Raw genomic sequence first — 22,776 nt, 5'->3', positions numbered from 1 at the left:
TTAAGAAAGCCAACGGACTATATCCTTTATTTTGTAGGCCTGGTATGGTAGGAGGCAAGTATATGACAGCCAGAGGGAACCTCCTTCTAAAACTTTGCATCTTCATACCACAGAAAAGGGAGAATGGCAAGAGGACACTCATCATTGCAGCAGTGGCTGACTTTATAGGACCTGCAGCAAGATGGTTGCTATGGTTCCTGGAGATGCCTGAGATGCCAGACAACCTTCTTTTCTAAGCCTGCTCCTCCTACATCCCACCAATTTTGTGGTTCTTCAGCATCCTTCCAATGGCTACCCAGCCAGCACTGTTATCCAGTCCTGGTTTCTGTTGCTTGCAGTCACCGAGCTCTGAGAGAGTGGCAGACATAGAGTAGGCATCCAGTAAGTATTTGTTGAATGAATGCAGGAATGAATGAGAAAATTAATGCAGGTGTAATGCATGTGTGCATGAATGAATGAACATAACAATGAACGAACAAAGGAAGCTCCTGCCTGTCTGTCTATGTGCTTATCTTCCCACACTCTCTGTCAACAGCTGCAAGGAGCTTTCTTTGGCTGCCTTGATGTTCCAGGCTCCCTCCCTCTATAGGGACTTGGCATGTGCTGTACCCTCTCCTGAGATGATCATTCCTCCACTTACTTTTTTTTTTTTTTTTTTTTTGAGACAAGATCTTGCTCTGTTGCCCAGGCTGGAACACAGTGTCTCAATCATGGCTCACTGCAGCCTCGACCTACTTGGCTCAAGTGATCCTCCCACTTCAGCCTCCTGTGTAGTGGAAACTACAGATGCATACCACCATGCCTGGCTAATTTTTTTATTTTTCATTTTTTGTAGAGACGGGGTCTTGCCATGTTACCCAGGCTGCTACCGAATTCTTGGGCTCAAGCGATCCTCCTGCCTCAGCCTCCTGAAGTGCTGGGATTACAGGCATGAGCCACTGTGCCTGGCTTTCCCTTTACCTTAATAACTGTTCATCTTCATACTCAATCATATACCTAGAGAAGCCCCTGACCTCCCAAAGTCCCACCAGATTAAGCCTTGTTACAGTCTTCCTCCTAGACCACTGGTGTTTTCCGTCAAATCGTCTATCTCAGTAGATTCAACACCTTTTTGTGCCATTATTTCATTAATGCGTAAATCTGCCAAGACTCTAATCTCCAGGAAGGCAAGGACAATGCCTGCTTTACTTAACGCTGTATCTTCAGACCTAGCCCAGTGCTTTGAGGCAGCAAGTATTCAATAAATATTTGGTACCTAAATAATGAAAGTGTGTGCCCCTTTGAAGGAGAGGACAGGAGATCCTGACCTGAATAAGCAGCGAGTAAATGCCTGTTAGTGAATTTAACTTGGCAGCTCAATCCCATGCACGGGGTCAGTTCTTGGAGATTAGTTGAGGAGCACTCAGACAGCCTGAGATGGAGATGAGGGAGGGAAGTGGTCATAAGAAACCTGGAAAGAGAGTGGCTCAGTGGGGAGGCAGGCGGTGGTCAAGAGCTAGCTTCTTCCTCTGCTCTTGGCCATGGGCTGGGCTGGAACCCAGGCGTCCTGGCACTCAGGATGCTGCCTGCTCTCTCAGTCATTAGGAAGTTTGCTCTGAAGATTAAAGAGACTCTGCCTCCCCCCACCCCCAGAAAGCAAGGAGAGTCCACAGGAAAACAGCTCCTTAACCCTCTTTGCTGGATCCCTGGAGAATCATCTGTCCAGTTCTACCGTGTCTGAGAGGGGCCTCCAAGTGGAAAAGGGCCCCATGGTCTGGTCTACTGCCTTACTTTTGGGGTCACAAACACGTAAGCAGAACCCCAAGGCCCAGGGTCTGGGCACCTGCCTGGCTCCCCATAGCCTCCTCTCCCAGCTGGGTGACTCATCTCTTCATGGACCTTGGCACCTCTGGTTGGCATCAGGAGCAGTTGATGAAGTCACATGCTCCTGAAAACCAATCCCTCAAATGACAGAGGAGGAGGGGGCAGTCCCAGGGAGTGGGAGCGGAGACAAGGAGAAAAACCAGGGTTCTAAATATTTTAAAATTTTAAAAGAAAATGAGCGAATTCAAGTTGGCTGCTAGTAATTTACAATGACGAGGCTGTTTTTACTCTGGTACCTCATAAATAACTTTTGATTTAAAGTTTCCAAAGAATTGACAGAGCACTTCAAACGACCTCATCGGAGAGGGAATGAGCTTCTCCCTCCATGCCCTGCCCGCTCAGGTGAGGACTGAGATCAGTAGCTGGAGGGGTTCATCAGGGGTGTAGCCCGACTGGCAACTGACAGGCTTACTGACTGACTGAGGAGCTAACCGGCCAGCAAGCTCATGGAGAGACTGACCCATGGGCTGACAGGTTGGTGAAATAACCAAGGGATGGTTGAGCCAATGGCATGGTTGATACACCAATGAAGGGACTGACTGTCCAATAGATGGACAGTTGGACTAATGGCCAGCCAGCAGACCAACGGATTGACCGATGGATCGGTTTGTCAGTGAGTCAGTGGATCGTAAGGCTAACCTGTCTGCCTCCCCCAAATCTGGTTAGCCAGCTGACCTACAGACCAACAGGCTGATGAACCAACCTTCCCAGACACTAACAGGAGAATATGGAAAGGAGGGGGTCATCTAGCAGATGGACAGGGCAAGCAACCATTGACCTACACACATATCAGAAAGAATTCAGATTGCCAGGACTACACACAGCGAGGAATGCTCCCAAAAGAAGATTACATGCAGATGCAAAAAAAGATTAAAAACTAAACTAGACTAAAATGCTTACTATATGGTAGGGAATGGAGAGGACCCTGGTGATCATGTTGGAGGTAACCTGACATTGTTGACATCCAGAGTTGCATAAAGAGGCTGGCAGATTCCAACACAATGTCAAGATGTGGTTTTTGCTATTGAGGTCTCCCTTATGGGTTGAATCAAATAAGCAAATGAGCAAGTGAGCTCAGCAATGGCCTCTCTTTAACATTCTTCTGAGCCTTTCTCTATGTTCCCATCATGAACACAGCAGACTCATTCATTCTCCTAAGGTCATAGATTTGGGGTCATAAAATGAAGTCACAGTGGTGTTCTGGTTACAGGATTATGGGTGATTATTTTTTCTTTCATTTTCTAATTATATCTTATAGTGGAGCTGTATTATTTTGTAATAAAAAAATTCACACATAATTTTAGAAGGAAAAATAAAAACTAATTTGGACCCTTCTTCTCATTTGCTCCATACCCAAAAAAGATTTCTTGATTTATGGATCCGAGGAGTCTTCAAGACTCGCCTCACCTTACCTTTCATGTCAAAATGGTTTATTGAATACCTACCAGTCCTTTCTCTCTTTTTCCTGGATTACTAGAACAGGCTTTGCAGCCTCTCCTTGCTCAAGTCTGTCCTTCATGCAGATGCTAAAAGAATTTCCACTATATTTTTCCTTCTTAAGAATTTCCAGGGGCTGCCAGGTACCTGTTTAATTCTCAACTTAAACTTTTTAGAATTTAACTTTTTAAATTCTGAACTAGAATCAGTGGACTTTGGATAACTGTGTCCTCTCCTTGCACACCTCTCCCCATATCCACATGCACACATGCACACACAAGCACACGCACACAGACCCGACCGACCTCCCCATTCCAACTTCTTATGATGCCCAGTGCTTACCTGAATTCTTGGTTCAGTTACACATCTCACAGTTTTCTCTCAAGCCAGAATGGAAATCCCACACCCAACATGTGGCCACCATCACTCTGATAAACTTATCCAACTATCCATCAAAAAGTACTCACTAAACACTCAGTATTTGACCACCATTGTAGGCATTATGGAATCTCCAAGAAGGGCAGAGAGAAGAGTGCTGATATTTATTGAGTGCTTAGTATATCAAACATTGAATTCACATAGGTGATCTTTTGGTGTCCTCAGTAAAGTATTTTCCCCATTTCAAGGATGAGAAAACTGAAACACAGAAAGGTCAAACTAAGGTCACATCGCTAGGAAGCAACAGCTGAAGCTAACTCCGGTGCCTTTGCTTTCTCATCTGGTTGGGAAAGCCAGACCATGTTTTCCACACACTCATCCACTCGCATATTCATTCATTCACTCACTCATGAATGCATTCATTTAGCAAGCATTTATTGAGAATCTATTCTATACCAGGACAATACCATATGCTGAGAATATAATGGTGAATAAGACAGTGATGATCCATATTTTCATGGAGCTTACTGTTTAGTAAAGGAGATAGACCAAAAATAAAAATCTATCTATCTATCTATCTATCTATCTATCTATCTATCTATCTATCTATCTACCTATCTATCTATCATCTATCTATCTACCATCTATACACCAATTTTCAATGAGGAAGGAACCAACAGGTAGAGAATAACATGGACAAATGATCTTAGATTTTATAACATCTATCATTTATATTGCTTTACAGTTTTAAAAGCCCCTTAGAAACTTTATGTGGAACCAGTTCTTAAAAGGCAAGATTCTATAGGTAAATTGAAGGGCAACATAAATTATGAGTGCAGACACCTGGAACCAAGTCTGGAGTATGCAAAGCTGTTCTTTCTGTAGCATCATAAACAGGGTCACAATTGAACAAAGGAAAAAGCACAGGTTTGAGACTAGCAGGGCAGTCTTCAAAGGCATGATGAGACTTAGAATTGAATGAGGGCTGGAGGTGGACCAAGAGGGAAGGAAACAAATGCAGCATAGGTCTCTAGGACTGAATTGAGGCGTGCTCATCCAAAACCTTCTTGGAAGATCCCAGGTGTGTGAAGATATAAAGGCTTCTCCAAATAGATAGAACCACCAAGGAGTCTGAAAAAAAAAAAAAAGTTTGAAAATAGGATTCTCAATAATGCCAAGGTCAAATTATTTCTGACTTGAGACAATCAAAATAAAATTATAAGTTGCTTATAAGATTTGCAAACATGACCAACAACATGCTCTGGGATTTTGGAAAGATGAAGAAAAGCAAGCACCTAGTTATGTTGAGACTTGTGCTACTCGGCACAGATGAGGGCAAGAACCACAAACAGTCCTGCATGGGCCCAGAAGCTTCCCCTTGTGGAGCTGGGATTCTGAGCCCATCTGTATCTTTCACGTATCTTCCAGCTGCTAGTTCATGACCTGCTGCGAGGCTCACTTCCTTCTGTAAAGTCCTGGCAAGAACACAGGCTTAGGGATTCCCAGCCTGAATCTGCCACTGACACACTATGTGGTCTTGGGCAGGGTCCCCAGACTCTCTGTGCTTCTGTTTTCTGCAAAATGAGAAGAATCATAACTACCTTTTGGGCTTGTCATGAGAACCAAGTTTGTTGTTTTCCGCTCTGTGGTAGATGTTGGCTGTTCTCATCTACTCAGCGTCTCTCTCCTCTTCTGTCAAGAACCTCCGCCTTGCCCTTGGAGAACTGCTCCTTCCCCGTTCTCAGACCATGTTGATTTAGGTGGGGTTGACTCCACCTCCAGGTTTCCAGGATGGATACATGATATGGCTTGGCATGTGACCCAAGTATTATATAATACGTTATATAATACATTCAATAAAATGCAGTCCTAGGGCTTGTATTTAAGCTGTTGGGCAGGAGTTCTCTTTTTGTTAAGGTGCTGAGCTGGTGAGAGGTAGTCCTGAAGCTGGGCCGCCATCCTACCATCACAAGGGCAGAGCCTGCCTGAAGGTGGATTCAAACTGAAAGAGAATAAATTTAAGAAATGTAAAGAGATTAGCTGGGCAGCTGGATTCAGCCATACCTGAAGCCATTTACTCCTATTAGTAAGTTCCTTTGTTCATTTATTAAGACAGATTGAGTTAGTGTCTGTCCTTGCCATCTAAAGAGTCCTGACTAACGTGCTATCCTAGGAAGAGATCTCCATGGACTGAGATACTGGTTAACACGTTGGGCAGTTTGTAGTCTCCAAGAATCCTGTCTACATGGGTTGGTAGGGGCTGGGGAAGAGACGCAAGGACTCAGGATCTTGACACTGCCCAGGAAGGGAAGCTAACAATATGAAAGAAGAAAATGGGCTCCAAAGTCTAAAAGTGCCAGATTGAAATAATTTCTACCATCTAGTAAGACCTATGACATGCCAGATATACTAAAAACATACTCATTTATTCAATGTGTATTTCACAGGGTCTACTGTGCGCCAGGCACTGTTCTAGAGAGCTTCCATTCTACTGGGAGAGCTGAGCCTAACTCTGCCAGGTAAGTACAATGAATCCCATTTTACAGATGAGAAAAGTCACAGCTCTGGACAAGGGTAGATTCAAGATTCTAACTTGGGTCTGTCTGACTTCAAAGCCCATGCCTTTGTCATCACTCCAGGCCACACTTTTTGTAAACTCTGCTCTCTGGAAACATTGCCTGATTCACATCTTTGCCTGAGATGGAAATCGGGGAGTTGGGGCCCCCATACTCAGCCTCTGGTTCAAGAGTCAGGACCCACAGCGTCTCATGAGGCGCTTGGCCATGTTTATGTTGCTCATCAGACAGGCCTGAGTGTGTCTGCCCAAATGGACTGTGAGTTGCGTGATGGAGTTTGGCGGTTTTGTCTGAGGATCCTCCGACAGCCAGAGGAACTGGCAGAGGGCTAAATTTGGCTACCCCGCCCAGCCTGTGGCTTCTCAGTTCTCCCAGAACCCTATGTTTAAATGTACCCCATCTATCCCACCTCACCCCCATTTTGGGGAGACACCATTGCTAAGATCACTGCAGTGGTAGCTTGAGAAAACAGCTTCACTCTTCTGTGCCTCCTTTTCCCCACCTGAAAAGTGGGAAAAACAGGACTCCCCTCATAGGCTTGCTACAGGAACTAGACAGATAAATGGAATGTCTACATGTTCCTAGAACTACATCTAGCTACAGTAGGCTTTTTTTTTTTTTTTTTTTTTTTTTTTTTGAGATGGAATCTGGCTCTGTCGCCCAGGCTGGAGTGCAGTGGTGCAATCTCAGCTCGCTGCAGCCTCCACCTCCCAGGTTCAAGCCATTCTCCTGTCTCAGCCTCCCGAGTAGCTGGGATTACAGGTGTGTGCCACCACGCCCAGCTGATTTTTGTATTTTGAGTAGAAACGGGGTTTCACCATGTTGGCCAGGCTGGTCTCAAACTCCTGGCCTCAAGCCATTCACCCATCTCGGCCTCCCAAAAGGCTGGGATTACAGGTGTGAGCCACTGTGCCTGGCCATACAGTAGGTCTTTGATTAGCCTGAGTTATCTTTCTTGCCCACAGCAGCCCTCTCCCCTGTGGCTGCCTGGCTCACCTGGACATCCCCCTCCACCCACCAGCTCAGCCACCCACCCCCCAGTCTAGCTCTAATGACTTTTGCAGCCCATCTCTGGTGGCAGTAGCTGAGAGGCTGGAGACTCCCAGGGTCCCGGGGCTCTTTCATCAGCCTCTGTGAGGGCTGTAAGTGATTCAGCCTGCAAGTGATTCGGCACCGGGCACAACAACAAACAGGCCTGCGGGGAATCACTTCAGCAGAGAGATCTTGGCACATCTCTATAGCAACTCAGGGAAAATATTTCACGCAAAAGTCCATCTGCTGTAACATAAAGGGAGTCCCAGCCAATAATCCAATTATAACGAGTTATAAATTAATCCTAATTTGCAAGCTTTATTTTACCAAACCACAAAATACACACACACACACACACACGCCTCTATATATTTACACACACTGTATATATTCTTATACATGTGCACACACATGTGTGTGCAGTCAGGAGGCAATAGCAATGCAATTGTGGCTTGTTTGTCTCATCTCATGGTGCTGACTAATCAGCAGGCAGAACATTCATCCGGAGGCTGAATGATTGACCCAAGCAAGTAGACAGCAGTGACCTCCAAGGCCACTGTGAAAAGGAGAGACAAACTCACTATGTTACCTAGAGCTATCCTGCAAGCCAGGGCTGAAATCTTTTTGTTAGTTGTGTCGGTTTCTCTTAAGGAAAAAAAAAAATGTATCTTTTTGTTTCCAATGTCTTTATAAAGAGACATTTGTATTGATTCATCGGTATAAAATGCTTTGTAGAGGCTATCAAAGTGGAAAAAACAACGTGATAATTCGCATTGTGATGCTTTTAATTTTATGTGTTGTCAACACTTCAAAGCGCGCCGGAGTTCTGTGTGGGAGATCTGGGATGTCTCTCTTTGCACGTCGTATCTGGGCTGCAACTGTCTGCAACTCTAGAGCCTCTTGCATGACGCCCATTCTGGCTTCAGATCTCTCCTCTTTTTCTTTTTTTCATTCTCTGCTTTCTACGTCTGCTCTGCAAAACTCATGTGGCCTGGAAAAAGAAAAAGGGTGGTGGTGAGTGGGAGGGAGCAGGGTTAAGTGAGAGCAAGATGTATAGCATCTTCTCCCTCTTAGACAAAGAAACAGTTGGCTTCCCAGCCAAGAACCTCCCATGGCATCTCAGGGAGAGCAGCTGGAAACTGAGCCATCAAAGAAGAGTCATGACTATTTGTCACCATCCCTCGAGCTAAGCACTGTGCCAAGGGCTTGCATTATGCCACTTAATCCTGACCTCAACCCCTTGAGAAAGAGGGCATTCCCTTGAGGAAGAGGGCATTTTACCTGCATTTTCTTTTATATTTTATTCATAACCGGGGCCCAGAGAGGTGGATGAATTGCTCAAGGTTCCCCAGCTGGGAAGCTGTATAACCAGAATTCATAATCAGTTTTGGCTGATTGTACTGCCTGGACTGCTTCTGCATACCTAGAAAGACACAAAAAGGCTGTCCCTAAGAGAGCGATCTCCAACAGTTGACTTCCACCTCCGAAAGTTAAGTCAGAAAGCTGCATTGGGTCCCCAGTATGAACCCAGATGTGCACTGGACTGCAAGCACATTCATTGTCCACTCTGAACCTCACAACATTCCAAGGGAGATAGGGTAACCCCCATTTCACAGATGAGCACGTAGAGACTCAGAGAGCTCAAGACACTTTCCCAGGGTAACACAGTAGAGAAGCCAGACCTCAAAGCCCATGACCCACTGAGCCCCCGGTGCCTGTTTCCCTCTGGATAGCTGTCCCCTAGGCTCGATGGTAAGCTTCTGCAGGCCGAGGGGGGCTGGTCACACACATCTGCGCCATCCGTGGGGCTGAGTGCAGATTTGGCCGGCTTTCTTAGAGCATGTCGACTTGATGAAACGCAGCAGGGGCGGGGCCCAGGCAGAAGGGTCAGGAAGGGGAAGAGGGCAGGAACACCCTGTTACCAGATCTGGAGAAGAAATGGAAAGTGAAATACTTGGAAAATAACTTCGGCCTGCCTGGAGGAAAGTGTGTCGGGATGTTTCCAAAGGCCTGGATGAGCAAGGCTTTTCCCCACCCACTCCCACACCTCACTAGAGGGGCAGGGGCGTGTGCAAAAGAGGCTGCTTCTGGCCTGAGTCCCTGGAGTTCAGGTCACTTCCAGGGACAGTCTCTGAAGAGCCATGCGATGTTCCCCCTGAGGCCCCTGAACCTGCAAGGAAGGCCCTGAGGCTCCCTGACACTGCCCTGCCCTCCTGGAAGGGCAGGAGCTTCAGCTGCAGCATCTTAGGTCCCCACCATCCAAATCTTTCCCTGGGGACCCAGAAAGGCCCTCCCAGCCAGGGTGACTCTATTTGGAATCAGCATCGGACCTGTTGAGTTGGGGCCTTGGAATAGGGAGCTTGCAGCTGCACAAGAGGCCACGATCCATCCACTAAGTACATTTGCAAGAACAGCCCCACAGTGGCCTCCATTTCAGGCATCATTAGGGATGAGCCCATCAGGAAATTTGACTCAACAGACCAGACCCCTAGTATGGTCAATTTTTCTCTCCTTTCTTCCTTTCCTTTCCTTTTCGTTTCCTTTTCTTCTTCTTCCTTCCTTCCTTCCTTCCTTCCTTCCTTCCTTCCTTCCTTCCTTCCTCTATCTCTCTTTTTCTCACTTATTTTCTCCCCTAAGCACTTGAAGAAAGAGAACTCCCTTTCAAAGGCCAGCCTGTAGCAGCCTTTCCCATGGCTGGGTTTCCAGTGCTAAGCTGCTCCCTCTAAGCTGCTCTGTGGCACATGAGGGAGGGAGCTGTGTCCGGGGGAACAAATATCCCAGTACTCCCGCCTGTATGCCGAGAGACCATTCCAGGATCTCTCAGACTTGCTGGGAATCCACCCTCTGGGAGGGTGAGCCAAAGGCAGGGCCTCCGCTGACCTCTGCCCTCCCTTAGCCTGGCCAGAAAGAACAGTCCAGAGCACCGCAGGAAGCCCTTTGGTTGAGCAAAGCAAAAACTCGCATGCAAGCCCAGGAAAGCCCAAGCCAGGTCTTTCACATGGGGGATTTGGCTGCAGTTAACAGAGGCGTGGAGAGGCAGTGAAGCTGAACGCCCTTCACTCACCCACCCCCAGCTCCCCCCAGCCTTGGCCTCGGTCATCTCTGAATTCTCAGCCAGGTTCTGTCACCAAAAGTTGCCCTCAAGTGGCAGAAAGACATGCACCCTGGAGTCGGAGGGCACACTCCCGTGGGAGGCCCTGGAGTGTAGCAGCTAAGAGCTTGGAGTCCAACAGATCTTGCTTTGAATCCCACATCTGCCACTGACCATCTGTGGGAGTATTTATTCCAACTCAGGAGCCTCCGTTTCCCTAGCTGTAAAATGGGGATAATAACATCCCCCGTTTTGTACAGTTTGGGTTGGTGGTAACAACATCACCCGTGTTGTGCAGTTTGAGTAAGAGGAAAATGAAGCAATACACGTGAAGCACTTAGACCTTTGCATCCTGTGCCTGGCACAGAACAAGTGTTCCCAAAATGATAATTATCATATTTTGCGCTTGTTCCTACATCCAGATCCTCCATGTGCTGCGTGTGCACGCACACTCACATACACACGCGCACAGTCAGTCCAGGAGCACCCTGAGGGTCCAGGCTGCCTCTCTGCATCATCATAGAATGTGAGAGTTGGAGAGGATGTTGGAAAATATCTGAGGCCAGACAGGGGATGTGTCCTGGCCGTAGTCACTGACCGGTATGTGGCAGAGTGGGGCTGAAATGCAGTTCTTATTTAGTTAGATTTCCTCTCCTCATTTATTATGTATCCAACAAACATTTATGCTGACCACCCCCTCTGTGCCAGACCCTGGCTGAGCTGGGCTTCAAGGTGAGCAAGATGGCACCTGCATTCCCAGATCCTGCAGCCAGCAGCTTCCGGCCCATTGGGCAGCTCTGTGGCTCTCTAAACTCCCGTCCTGTGCATAATCAGAATCTCAAATACCCCAAATGCTTGGGCAGCTTTGTCTTTGTCTCAGGTCTAAATCTCCTTTCCCTTGGTGATGGTAGGCTCTTTGAGGGCTCTCTCTGCTCGTTCTGGGTAGGGGGCTCCCATGTGGCAGCCTGGACTGCACTGAGACGTACCCATCCGCACGGGGATCTGTCTCTCCCCACAGACCAGGAGATCCTGCAGGCAGAGGTCTCCACTTAGCCAAAGCAGTGCCTGGCATGGAGCTGACTCTGTAAATGGTGGTTGAATGAATGATGAATGAATGACTGCTCAGGGAAAAGAAGGTCGGTAATTCACTTATTCACTGACAATGCATTTATCATGAATTTATCTGTGCCAGGCTCCTTGAGACCCTGGGATACAGAAATGAATGGGCCATCATCCCTGCCCTCAAGGAGGCCCAGTAAACAAACATGAGCGGTGATAGCCATGCATGCAGGGGCCAATGGGGTAGGAAAAGGTGAGGTCAGTTCTTCTGGGCAGTGGGGAATCAGCAGGAAAGACACGGAGTGACACTAGGACAGGGCTGAGCAGGCAAGGCTGCCAGGTAAGCAGGGAGAGAGCAGGCTTTCTGAGCAGAGGGACAGACATGGGCAAAGGTTCTGAGGGGTGATGTACTCTGGGAAACATCAGCCTTACCATTTCACTCCATTTACCACAACAGTAAGAACAACAATAAGAGCAAATATTTGTGGGATGCTTTGCTCCAAGCACTGTCTTAAAGCTTTGTAAGGGTTAACTCAGTAATACGCCCACCTTAGTGTGTCTCTAGTCTCATTTTTCGAAGAGAAAACTGAGGCACAAAGAAGGGAAGGAATTTGTCCAACGTCTCACAGATTTTTAGTGGTAGAGCTTGTTGTCAAAGAGACGTTAAGGCTAGAGGTGCCAGCACTGACCCGGCCACAGAGAGCCTTAAATATTGAGTAAAGATGCTGGACTCTACCCTCGTGCTGGAGGAGAGCCACTAAAGGATTTTGAGCAGGGGAATGTCGTGATGTGATTTTCATTTTTGATCATTTCTTCTGGGATAGTCAGGGGAATTGACTCAAGGTTTCTAGTAGCTGTGAGGTTAGAGAGGACCAGGAATCTCTTGCACACATTCGATAGAGGACAGGTATAAAAAAAGTTCACGGAGCGATTTTCACAATATCAAAAACACAAATGCCCATCAATAGCAAAGTGGACCAATAAACCATATGTACACTGTGGAATATTACACAGCCATGAAAATGAATGAGCCATAGCAGCATGCAACAAAAGACTGAATCTTGGTGTAACAGCTGGTGATTGCTGTGTAACAAACCACTCCAAACTTAATAGCTTAAACAATTACTTATTTGATTCAGAATTCAGTGGGTAGGTATTCTAGGCTGGGCTCAGCTGGACAGTTCTGGTTTTGGCTGGGCTTCCTCATGAGTCCAGGGTCAGCAGAGAGTCAGCTAGGGGGCACTGCTTCTGAGAGTTGACTGGTTGTTGGCTGAGACAATGGTGGCAATTGGGCCACATGTCAGTCCTCATCCAGCAAGCCAGCCCAGACTTGTTCAAAAGTTTCCAGGAAAATATGGAAGAGCACAGATCCTCCAAAGGCTTAAGCTCAGAACTGGCACAATTCCACTTCCACCGTATTATATTAGTCAAAACATACATCAGCCCAGCCCAGATTTGAGAGGTGGGGAAATAGACTCCACCTCTTGATGGAAGGAACTTCGAAGTCATGTTGCAAAAGGGATGTGGAGGCGGGAAGAGGAATAATTGCAGCCATATTTGGAAATGATCTACTACACTTGCAAAAAGTAAATTCCAAAAGATTACATACAGAATACCCATTTATAAAATTAGACTTTAGGAGTACAGATACATAAAGTAAGATTTTATCAACAGGAAGCAACAGAGCAATAGACACAAGACATAGGATGATGGCTCCCTCGGAAGGCGGAGGGCAAGGAGATGGGGTGGAGAATCATGCATGGTGAACGCAGGTTATTGTCATGGTTCTAGCTTTTGTTTTGTTATTAAAAAATAAGGAAATTTAAAAAGCAAGCCATTTGAAAACTGGATTATAATTAGTTGGATTGTATATACTTCAGGTCCAGAAAAGGAGAGGGAGATTGAGAGAGAGAAACAGTCCAATGGAAGTGCACAAAGAGTCAGGTTGTCAGGATATGGCACATGCCACATCTTAGATGTGGATGGAGAGGGAGAAAGAGGAACAAGGATCACTTCTGAAACACCCGCTTGGGGGACTAGGTGGTAGTACCATCCCTAAGCCAGGAACCCCACAGAGGAAGACAGTTTGGAAGAACAAAGAGTCGTGTTGGGGAATACTGTGTTTACAATGCCTGTGAAGACCCACAGATCAAGGTCCAGTGGCTGCTCTTCTTTCCAGAGCTTTGGGGAATGGTCAGGACTGGAGAAGCAGGAGCCCCAGCAGACCTGAAATGGAGACCATCCCAGAAAATCCTGTTTGATATCAGCATGGAAAGCCTCCCTTCCGCTGAGAGCCACCACCAGCCCCTTCCTGACAGCTCCTTGGGGCATGTCCACAGCCAGGTTTCCCTTCTAAGCAATCAGGCCTCCACCCTGGAGTCCCAGGCCAAGCGAGTAGGCTTGGGGTTGTGGCTGAGGGGGCCCCAATAGCAGCCTCCTCCCTCCAGCAGGGCCAATGGGACCCCAGAGGGGGCTGGATGTTTGTGCAGATGACATGTTTATGGCCCAACCTCTCCTTACTCATGCTTTTGGCTTTCCCTCGCTGATTTTGGTTGGGTGGATCCCAGTTCTGCTGCTGGGTTTGGGAGCCTTGGGGCTGGGGCTGAACAGAGGTTCCTTTAACTGTTCCAACCCACGATGATTCCAGCCCCTTCCCCCTCTCCCCCAAGACCTCATCTTTTCCCACACCCAACCTTATTACCAAATGCTGGCCTCTCAGAGCTGGAAGGGGCCTCCGGCATCCTCTTGTCCAATGCCTCCTCACGTAGATGAAGAAACTGAGGCCCAGAGACAAGAAGGGACTTGCCCAAGGTCATCCAAGCAGGTAGAGACAGAAGAGCCTGCATCCTGACTTCCAGCTTGGAGCCCTGAAGCCATCCTCCCACCACCAACTTCCTTGGTTGCTGTTTTGTTTGGGAAAGGACAGTTCAGCTTTTTCAAGCCTGCAGCAGTAACTCTCTCCCCTCCCAGGGAGGCAGCAGACAGTGACGGACTCTCTGCTTTTACACTTTAATTCCATAGGAAATTGGAAATTGCCTGTCAGAGGTGTCCGGGTGGCCCGGCTGCCGGCCACCCCACACAGACCCAGGCTGCCCCGCCCCGACCTGGCCGCCAGCACGCCCGCTTCTCCCTGCTCCCTGGCAGGGGGGCCCTTTTCGGAAGCTCTCCTGAGGGCTCCTGTGGAATCTCTCCCTGCTCTTCCTTCCAGGGCAGGAGGATAGAGCTCGGTATAGGGCAGCCAGGCCTGGCTGGGGCCCGAAACCCTGACATTTAGTCGCACTGTTTTCCATTCCGGGCTCTCGGGAGTCTCTGGCCCATAGTGGCAGCTTGGCTTCAGCATTGCTTCCTGCCCTGAGGTCACAGCGAAATTGGGGGACCCCTCTTCTGGGGGTCTGGGGTATCCAGGTTCCCTAAAAGCCTCTACATTGCCCTCCCAGTGCTTGTCACCATCTCAGGGTTTCTGAGACTGCAGTGGGTCACACTTCTTCCCTTCTCTGGGTATCCCCTGCATTTGGGATCCTATGGTGGCATCTCTATCTTGTCTCAAAAACCAGCCCGGAAGCTTCTGGAGGTCAGTGTTCCTGTTGCATAGTAGTTAGAGGTGAGAATCTCTGGCATCACAGTGCCTGGACTGAACCCCAGAGTCACCACTTTTGAACTTTGTGACTTTGGACAAATTGCCCACCCCTCCATGCCTTTGTTTTCTCATCTCCAAAATGGGAATGCTAATAATAGCACCAAATGTGCAGGGTTGTGTGAAGGTTACATGGGACAGCGCAAGTGAAGCACTTGATAAATGTGAGCACTGTTCATATTCTATTTCAGCAGCCTCTCATCTGACCCTGCATTTCGGCCCAGACCTAGGCTATGAGAGATAGTAAGTACTCATGAGCTGACCTCTTAAACAACTGGCAGGATATATAGCAGAACAAGCAGTCTGTAGCTTCCTGGGTCCTATTCAATGCAATGAGCATTGATGGAGTGCTTGTTATGTGTAGACACTGTGCTTGGTGCTAGAGGCTCAAGGGTGTGCAAGATGGACAATCTCTGCCCTCCCACAGCTTTCATTCTAGTAGGGAAGCAAATGCTGGAGCAATCCCAGCCCAGTGAGCCAGGTGATGAGCTGGAAGCAAGCTCGGGGCCTGCAGGTCCAGAGGAGGCATGGAAAAGAGGTCACTCTGCGGCTTTGACCTTATGGATGAGCAGACATGAGTGAGTGTGAGTGTGTGTGTGTGTGTGTGTGCGTGTGTGTGTGTGTGTGAACAATGTGGAAAAGTATATAGCAATGCATATATGCTTGATGGAGCAAGATTCAGTGAAGGAATTGAAGAATGTTTAGTGCAGCTGAAGAAGAAAGTAGGGAGAAGCAGGAGGGGAAAAATGAGACTGGAGAAGTGGAAAGAGGCCAGATCTCAAGAGCTTTGTAGATTTGTTCTGAAAGCAGTGGGGAGCCACTGAAGAGTACAGAGCAGGAGGGTTTGGCAAGGGGAAGTTTGCCTTTTAGATTGTTCATTCGGTGTGGCGGATGGATGGAGGGGTCAGGCCTGGAGGCAGGGAGGCTTGCAATGAGACCGCTGCAGTGATCTGGATGAAAGGAGGCGAATGGCAGAATATGGACTAAAGTTCAAAGTCTCAAGGATGACATTCAAGGCCACTCCCAAACTGGCCCACTGGACTTTCCCAGTCTTCCCTCATACTAAAACTGAGTTATTGTGAGAATCAAAGGAGACCCATGGGCATGGACATGCCTTGTTAAACACAAAGCACCGTGTGAGTATAAGAAATTGTTATCTTTGGGATTGTTAGTGGTTGGTTTGCTGGACATACTCACATGAGCATCCTGCCAGGTCCAGGAGTAACACCGCCTCCTTGAGAGAGGAGGATTTATTTCAGTTTGCCTCCAGTGGTTCCTAATGGATACCCACAATTGGTGACACAAAACTGAATTTCAGGGCACCCATTCCAACCAAATTTCTCTGCTGCCTTGATGAACTGATTTCTAGACAGAAACAAACTCATAGCATCTTCCATGCTTGGGAGAAGGCACTTGGGCTAAACGTAAGCAAACCTGCCATAAATACAGAGACTTTTAGAGGACCAGGGAAATCAGCTGGGCCCTAGACAACAGTGTGAGCTGGCAGGAGTTTGGAAGAGCTCCAAATACAAGAACAGATTACTCATCTCAGATATTTTCCTGCCCCACATGCTCCCCTTTCTCACTGCTGAGTAAGCAATAGTGAAGAAAGAGTTAGTAAACGGATTGTAGTTTAATGCATTCTCGTGATGATAGGATTCAAGATCCTGACAGACTTGAATTTAAAAGTGAACCAAAACTATCTGAAACTGTAGGCTGGGTGTGGTGGCTCATGCATGTAATCCCAGCACTTTGGAAGGCCGAGGCGGGTGGATCACCAGAGGGCAGGAGTTCGAGACCAGCCTGACCAACATGGCAAAACCCCGTCTCTACTAAAAATACAAAAAAGTAGCCAGGCATATTGGTGTGCACCTGTAATCCCAGCTACTTGGGAGGCTGAGGCAGAAGAATTGCTTGAACCCAGGAGGCAGAGGTTGCAGTGAGCCAAGATTGTGCCATTGCACTCCAGCCTGGGCAACAAGAGTGAAACTCCATCTCAAAAAGTAAGAAAGAGAGAGAGAGAGAGAGAGGGAGGGAGGGAGGGAGGGAGGGAGGAAGGAAGGAAGGAACTGTAGCCATTTTCCAGCTCAAATTCTGACACGATTAAAAACAAAACAAAACAAAACAAAAAACAACAGCTTTGGGGTTTGGACATTGAGACAATCACACAGATGAACTCAATCTAATTAAAGCTGTGGCCCAGCCCCATCTCAACTTGATCAAGGAGAAATGTGAATGATCAGACATTTACTTTAACCATCAGTCATAAGAAAGGGTTTTCAGTGTGGGAAATAAACAAAGAAAAGTATCCTTTAGTCTTCACTGCTATTTATATATAGTGTTTGGAATACAATTTAAAAAGTACAAGCCATCTGAGGAATCTCGTGGTGGTGGGGGGAATAATGATTATAATCAAGAGAAAGCATAATCAACAGAAACAGACTCCCAAAGGAAATATAATTAGAATTGAAATTCTGTCATTGGAACTGGCAAATAAGAACTTTGGAACAACCATTTTAATATGTTTAAAATTTTAGAGGTAAAGAAAGATATAATCATTGAAGAGATTGATATTTCTGCAGAGAATTGTAAACTATAAAAAATGACAAAATGCAAATTCTGGAACTAAAATATATGAAGCAGAAAATTAATAGAATGAGGTCCTCTGGAAAGATGGTGAAGTAGAAAGCACCAGAAATCTGTCTACCCACCTAACACTAGCAGACTCCATCTGATGTAACTATTTTGAAACTCTGGAGTTTATTGAAGGCTTGCAAATTCCAGGGGAAATTTCACTCTCAGCACAGTAGTAGCTATTCATCCCCCACCCCCAAGCCCATGGCAAGCAGCCGTGCACATGTTTCTGGAGCAACCTGCACATAGCTTGAGTGAGCCAGGGTAGACCAAAAGGACCCTATCCTCTACATATCAGGCATCTGTTGTCTGATCCCTGATTTCTGCTTCTGATCACAAAGGTGCAGACAAAGAAAAAGGCAGCCATTGTTGTTGCACCTCCCCCAACTGTTGCAAGCCCCTGCTTCTTGGCTGAAATGACTTCCAGGGGATTTAAAGGGCTAGCACTCTTTTTTTTTTTTTCCATTTGTCTCTGTTTTTTTCTCTTTTTCGCCTTTTGGGGGCCAAACATTAAAGACTAGAAGATTCAAAAGCAATCACAGATACAGGGAAATCAGAAAATGACCACTCATGTCCCAGGAAAGATGAAGGCTCAGAAAAGACTTGAGAAGACCTTAAGTTTATACCCCAGGCTGATCCTTGGCATGGAGACAGCCTACAACAACCAAAAACAAAACAATAAGAAAACAACAAATCCTGAGGAAGGGAGAGAATCTAACTTCCAGTCACCATATTATTAGATTCAAATGTCCAGTTTTCAACAACAACAACAAAAAAACCACAAAGCATATAAAGAAACAGGAAAGCATAGCCCATTCAAAGGACAAAAATAAACAGAAACTGTCCCTGAAAAAAAACCTTATGGCATATCTGCTAGACAAAGACTTTAAAACAACTATTTTAAAGATGGTCAAAGAACTAAAGGAAGATATGGAGAAAGTCAAGGAAACAATTTATGAACATAATGAAAATATTAATAGATAGAAACCTAAAAAAAACCCAAAAAATATGAAGCTAAAAATACAATAACTGAAAAGAAAAATTCACTACAGAAGTCCGAATCAGAGGCAGATCTGGGCAGACAAAATAATGAGTGAACTTGAAGGTAAAACAATGGAAATTATCAAGTCTGAGGAACAAAAAGAAAAAAGATTGAAGAAAAGTGAATAGAGCTTAAGAGACCTGTGGGACACCATCAAGCAGATCAACATATGCATTGTGGAAGTCCCAGAAAGAGAAGAGAGAATGTTTGAATAAATCACGGCCAAAAACTTCCCAAATCTGATGAAAGACATGAATATAAACATCCAAGGAGTTCTTCAACAAACTTCAAGGAAGATGAGCTCAAGGAACTTACACTAAGATTAGGGTTAGGGTTATAACCTAACCATATAATCAAAACTTTACATTATAATATAAACTTTTGAAAAACAAAGAAAGAATCTTGAAAGCAGCAAGAGAGAAGTGACTCATCACATACAAGTGATCCTCAATGAGATTATCAACACATTTCTCATCAGCAACTTTGGAGGCCAGAAGGCAGTGGGCCAATATATTCAGTGCTACCAACAACAACAACAACCTGCCAACCAAGAGTCAAAACTGGCTCAGAACTAACACAAATGTCAGAACTATCAGACAAGGATATTAAACTAGTTATTGTAAGTATATTCCAGTTGTTCAACAGTTAAGTAAAGGCATTAAAGATCTAAAAAGGTCACAAGTCAAATCTAGAGAGATTAAATCTACAATGTCTGAGATGAAAAAAAAAAAAATACTAGTCTTTAATGTTTGGTTCCCAAAAGGTGGAAAAGAGAGAAAAAAGGGGTGGGGGAAAGGTGCTACCCCCTTTAAATTCCCTGGAAATCATTCAGAGGAGAAGGACTTGCAACAATGGGGGAGGTACAACAATGGCTGCCTTTCTCTGCACCTCTGTGATCAGAGGCAGCAATCAGAGATCAGACAACAGATGCCAATATGTAGAGGATAGGGTCCTTTTTAACTAGGAGATAGTGAAAAACGGCACACTAGTGTTTGAAGAAGCAATTAAAACTATTCAAAATGAGACAAGGGGAGAAAAAATTTTAAAAGTGAAAAGAGCCTCAGTGAGCTTTTGGACAATGGTATAATACCCATAATCACATTAAATGTAAATGTGCTAAATATCCCCAATTAAAGAGCAGAGATTTTCAGATTGGATTAAAAAAACAACAAAAAAGAAAGAAAAAGAATTATATCCTGTTTACAGGAAATGAATTATATATATAAAATAATTATATATAATGTTGCACCATTGTCTTTTTGCTTGCATTGCTTTTGCATTGCTTTAAAAAGAAATCTGATGTCATTCTTATATTTGTACCTCTGCATGTAACATGTCTTTTTTTCTCTGACTGCTTTTGAGATATTCTCTTTGTTACCAGTTTTGAACAATTTGATTAGGATATATCTTGGTATAGTTTTCTTCACGTTTGTTGAGCCAGAGATTTGTTGAACTTCTTGGACATTTGGCTTTATAGTTTTCAATAAATTTTAACAGTTTCTGACCATTATCTATGTGTGTGTGTGTGTGTGTGTGTGTGTGTGTGTGTGTGTGTATAAAATGAAAGTAGAAGGATGAGAAAAGATACCATGTTATCCCTAACCAAAAGAAAGCTGGAGCAGTTATATAAATATCACAGTAGATTTCAGAGCAAAGAATATGGCTAAAGATAAAAAAGATCTTTTATTATGATAAAGGGGTTAATTCATCAAATTATAATTCTAAATGTTTATGCATCTAATAACAGAACCTCAAAACACATGAAGCAAAATTAACGGAATTGAACTACAAGGAGAAACAGATAAATCATCATTACAGTCAAAGATTTCAACATCCTGTCAAGAGTTGATAAAATAAGTAGACAAAAAAATCAAAAAGGATATAAAAGATTTGAATAACACTATGAACCAACTTGACCTAATTGGCATTTATATAGCACTCCACCCAACAACAGCAGAATATACAATCTTTTCAAGAGCACAAGCAACATTTACCAAGATAGACCATATTTTGGGCCATAAAATAAGTTTCAGTAAACTTAAAAGGATTCTAGTCTTACAAAGTATGCTCTCTGACCAAACTGAAATCAAATTATAAATTAATAACAGAAAGATCTCTGGAAAAATCCACAAGTATTTGAAACTAAATAACACACTTCTAAGTAATTGAAGGGTCAAAGAAAAAAATCAAAAGGAGAGTTAAAAGTATTTCAAACTAAGTGAAAGTGAAAAAACATCAAAATTTGTAGGTCACCACTAAATCAGTACTTATAAGGAAATTTATAGTACTAAGTGCCCATATTATAAAAGAAAGGAGTTATCAAACTAATGATCTCAGCTTCCACCTTAAGAAACTAGAAAACAAAAGAGCAAATTAAACCCAAAGGAAGCAGAGGAAAGGAAATGATTAAAATTCCACCAGAAATGAATGAATTTTAAAACAGAAAAACAACAGAAAAATCAAATGAAACCAAAAGCTGGTTCCTTCAAAAGATCAATAAAATTTTAAAAACTTCTAGCTCAACTGATCAGGAAAAAATGAAAAGAATATAAAAATTACCAATATCAGAAACAAGAGAAGTTATATCAATACAGACAATATCCCTAAAACTATTGAAGAAAATGAATTTGCAGTTAAACATTGTCACAAAAACAAAGCTCCAGGACCAGAGAGCTTCGATGGTGAAGAATATGTAACATTTATGGGAGAAATAATGTCTGTTAGACAGAAACACAGGCATACCTTGTTTTGTTGTGCTTTGTTTTACAGATTGAAGGTTTGTGGCAATCCTGCGTCAAACATATCAGCACCTTGTCTCCAACAGCATATGCTCACTTCATGTCTCTGTGTCAGCAATTCTTAGCAATAAAGTTTTAAAAAAATTAAGGTATGTACATTGTTTTAAAGACATAAAGCTATTGCACACTTAATAGATTACAGCAGAGTGTAAACATAACTTTTTTTCTTTTATTATTAAACCTTAAGTTCTGGGATAAATGTGCAGAACATGCTTTTATATGCACTGGAAAACAAAAAAAAATGTGTGATTTGCCTTATTGCAGTGGCCTGGAACTGAACTTGCAATATCTCTGAGGTATGCCTGCACTTCTAAAAAAATTGAACAGAAGGAAACACTTCCCAATTCATCCTATGAGGCCAGTTACCTAACATCAAAACCAGACTAAGAAATTACAAGATGAGAAAATTAAAGACCAATACTTCTCATGAAAACAGATGCAAACATTTTAAATAAGATTTTAATGTATTGAATCTAATGACATATAGAAATGAATAATACCTCATGATGAAATGGTGTTTTAAATCCTTAGGAATTCAAGGTAGGTTTAATATTCAAAAATCAACCATTGTCATTCATCATAGTAAAGACTAAAAAGAAAAACCATATGATCCACCCAATAGATACAGAAAAAACATTTGAAAAAAAAATCAAACATTTGGCTGGGCATGGTGGCTCATACCTGTAATCCCAGCACTTTGGGAGGCTGAGATGGGTGGATCACTTGAGGTCAGGAGTTCAAGACCAGCCTAGCCAACATGGGGAAACCCTCTCTCTACTAAAATACAAAAATTAGCTGGGCATGGTGGCGGGCACCTGTAATCCTAGCTAGTAGGGAGGCTGAAACAGGAGAATTGCTTGAACCTAGGAGGCAGAGGTTGCAGTGAGCCAAGATCGCACCACAGCACTCCAGCCTGGGTGACAGAGCAAGACTCTGTCTCAAAAAAAAGAAAAAAAATCCAACATTTACTCCAGATAAAAAAAAAATCCAACTATCAGCAAACTATGAGTAGAAGGGAATTATTCAATCTCATAAAGAGTGTCTAGAGAGGCCAGGTGTGGTGGCTTTAATCTGTAATCCTAGCACTTTGGGAGGCCAAGATGGGGAGATCACTTGAACTCAGGAGTTGAGACCAGTCTGGGTAACATTGCAAGACCTTGTCTCTACAAACACTCAAAAATTAGCCCAGCATGGTGGCTACTTGATCCCAGCTACTTGGGAGGCTGGGGTGG

General features: G+C 44.6%; 3 long non-coding RNA genes across 4 annotated transcripts; 1 reads left to right on the top strand and 2 right to left on the bottom strand.

The window, feature by feature from the left end:
• Positions 1 to 3,827: 3,827 nt before the first annotated feature.
• Positions 3,828 to 5,463, bottom strand: LOC124901134 (uncharacterized). Its single transcript, XR_007059048.1, has 2 exons — positions 5,280 to 5,463; positions 3,828 to 4,809 (listed from the first exon to the last, which is right to left on the bottom strand). It is a non-coding gene; the product is annotated as an uncharacterized LOC124901134 (long non-coding RNA).
• Positions 5,464 to 5,555: 92 nt separating this feature from the next.
• Positions 5,556 to 21,583, top strand: LOC105377722 (uncharacterized). Its single transcript, XR_941214.2, has 3 exons — positions 5,556 to 5,764; positions 6,126 to 6,197; positions 21,516 to 21,583. It is a non-coding gene; the product is annotated as an uncharacterized LOC105377722 (long non-coding RNA).
• Positions 8,054 to 14,398, bottom strand: LOC107986392 (uncharacterized). 2 transcript variants are annotated; one of them, XR_001742537.2, is made up of 3 exons: positions 14,138 to 14,398; positions 8,568 to 8,709; positions 8,054 to 8,277 (listed from the first exon to the last, which is right to left on the bottom strand). It is a non-coding gene; the product is annotated as an uncharacterized LOC107986392 (long non-coding RNA). The 2 variants fall into 2 exon arrangements; XR_007059047.1 differs by lacking the exon at positions 8,568 to 8,709.
• Positions 21,584 to 22,776: the final 1,193 nt, after the last annotated feature.

The sequence above is a fragment of the Homo sapiens genome, chromosome 5 (assembly GCF_000001405.40).
Source record: "Homo sapiens chromosome 5, GRCh38.p14 Primary Assembly".
In the NCBI taxonomy this organism is placed as follows: Eukaryota; Metazoa; Chordata; class Mammalia; order Primates; family Hominidae; genus Homo; species Homo sapiens.
Note: the sequence above shows the minus strand (reverse complement) of the source record. Positions and strands in the feature narration are given on the sequence as shown.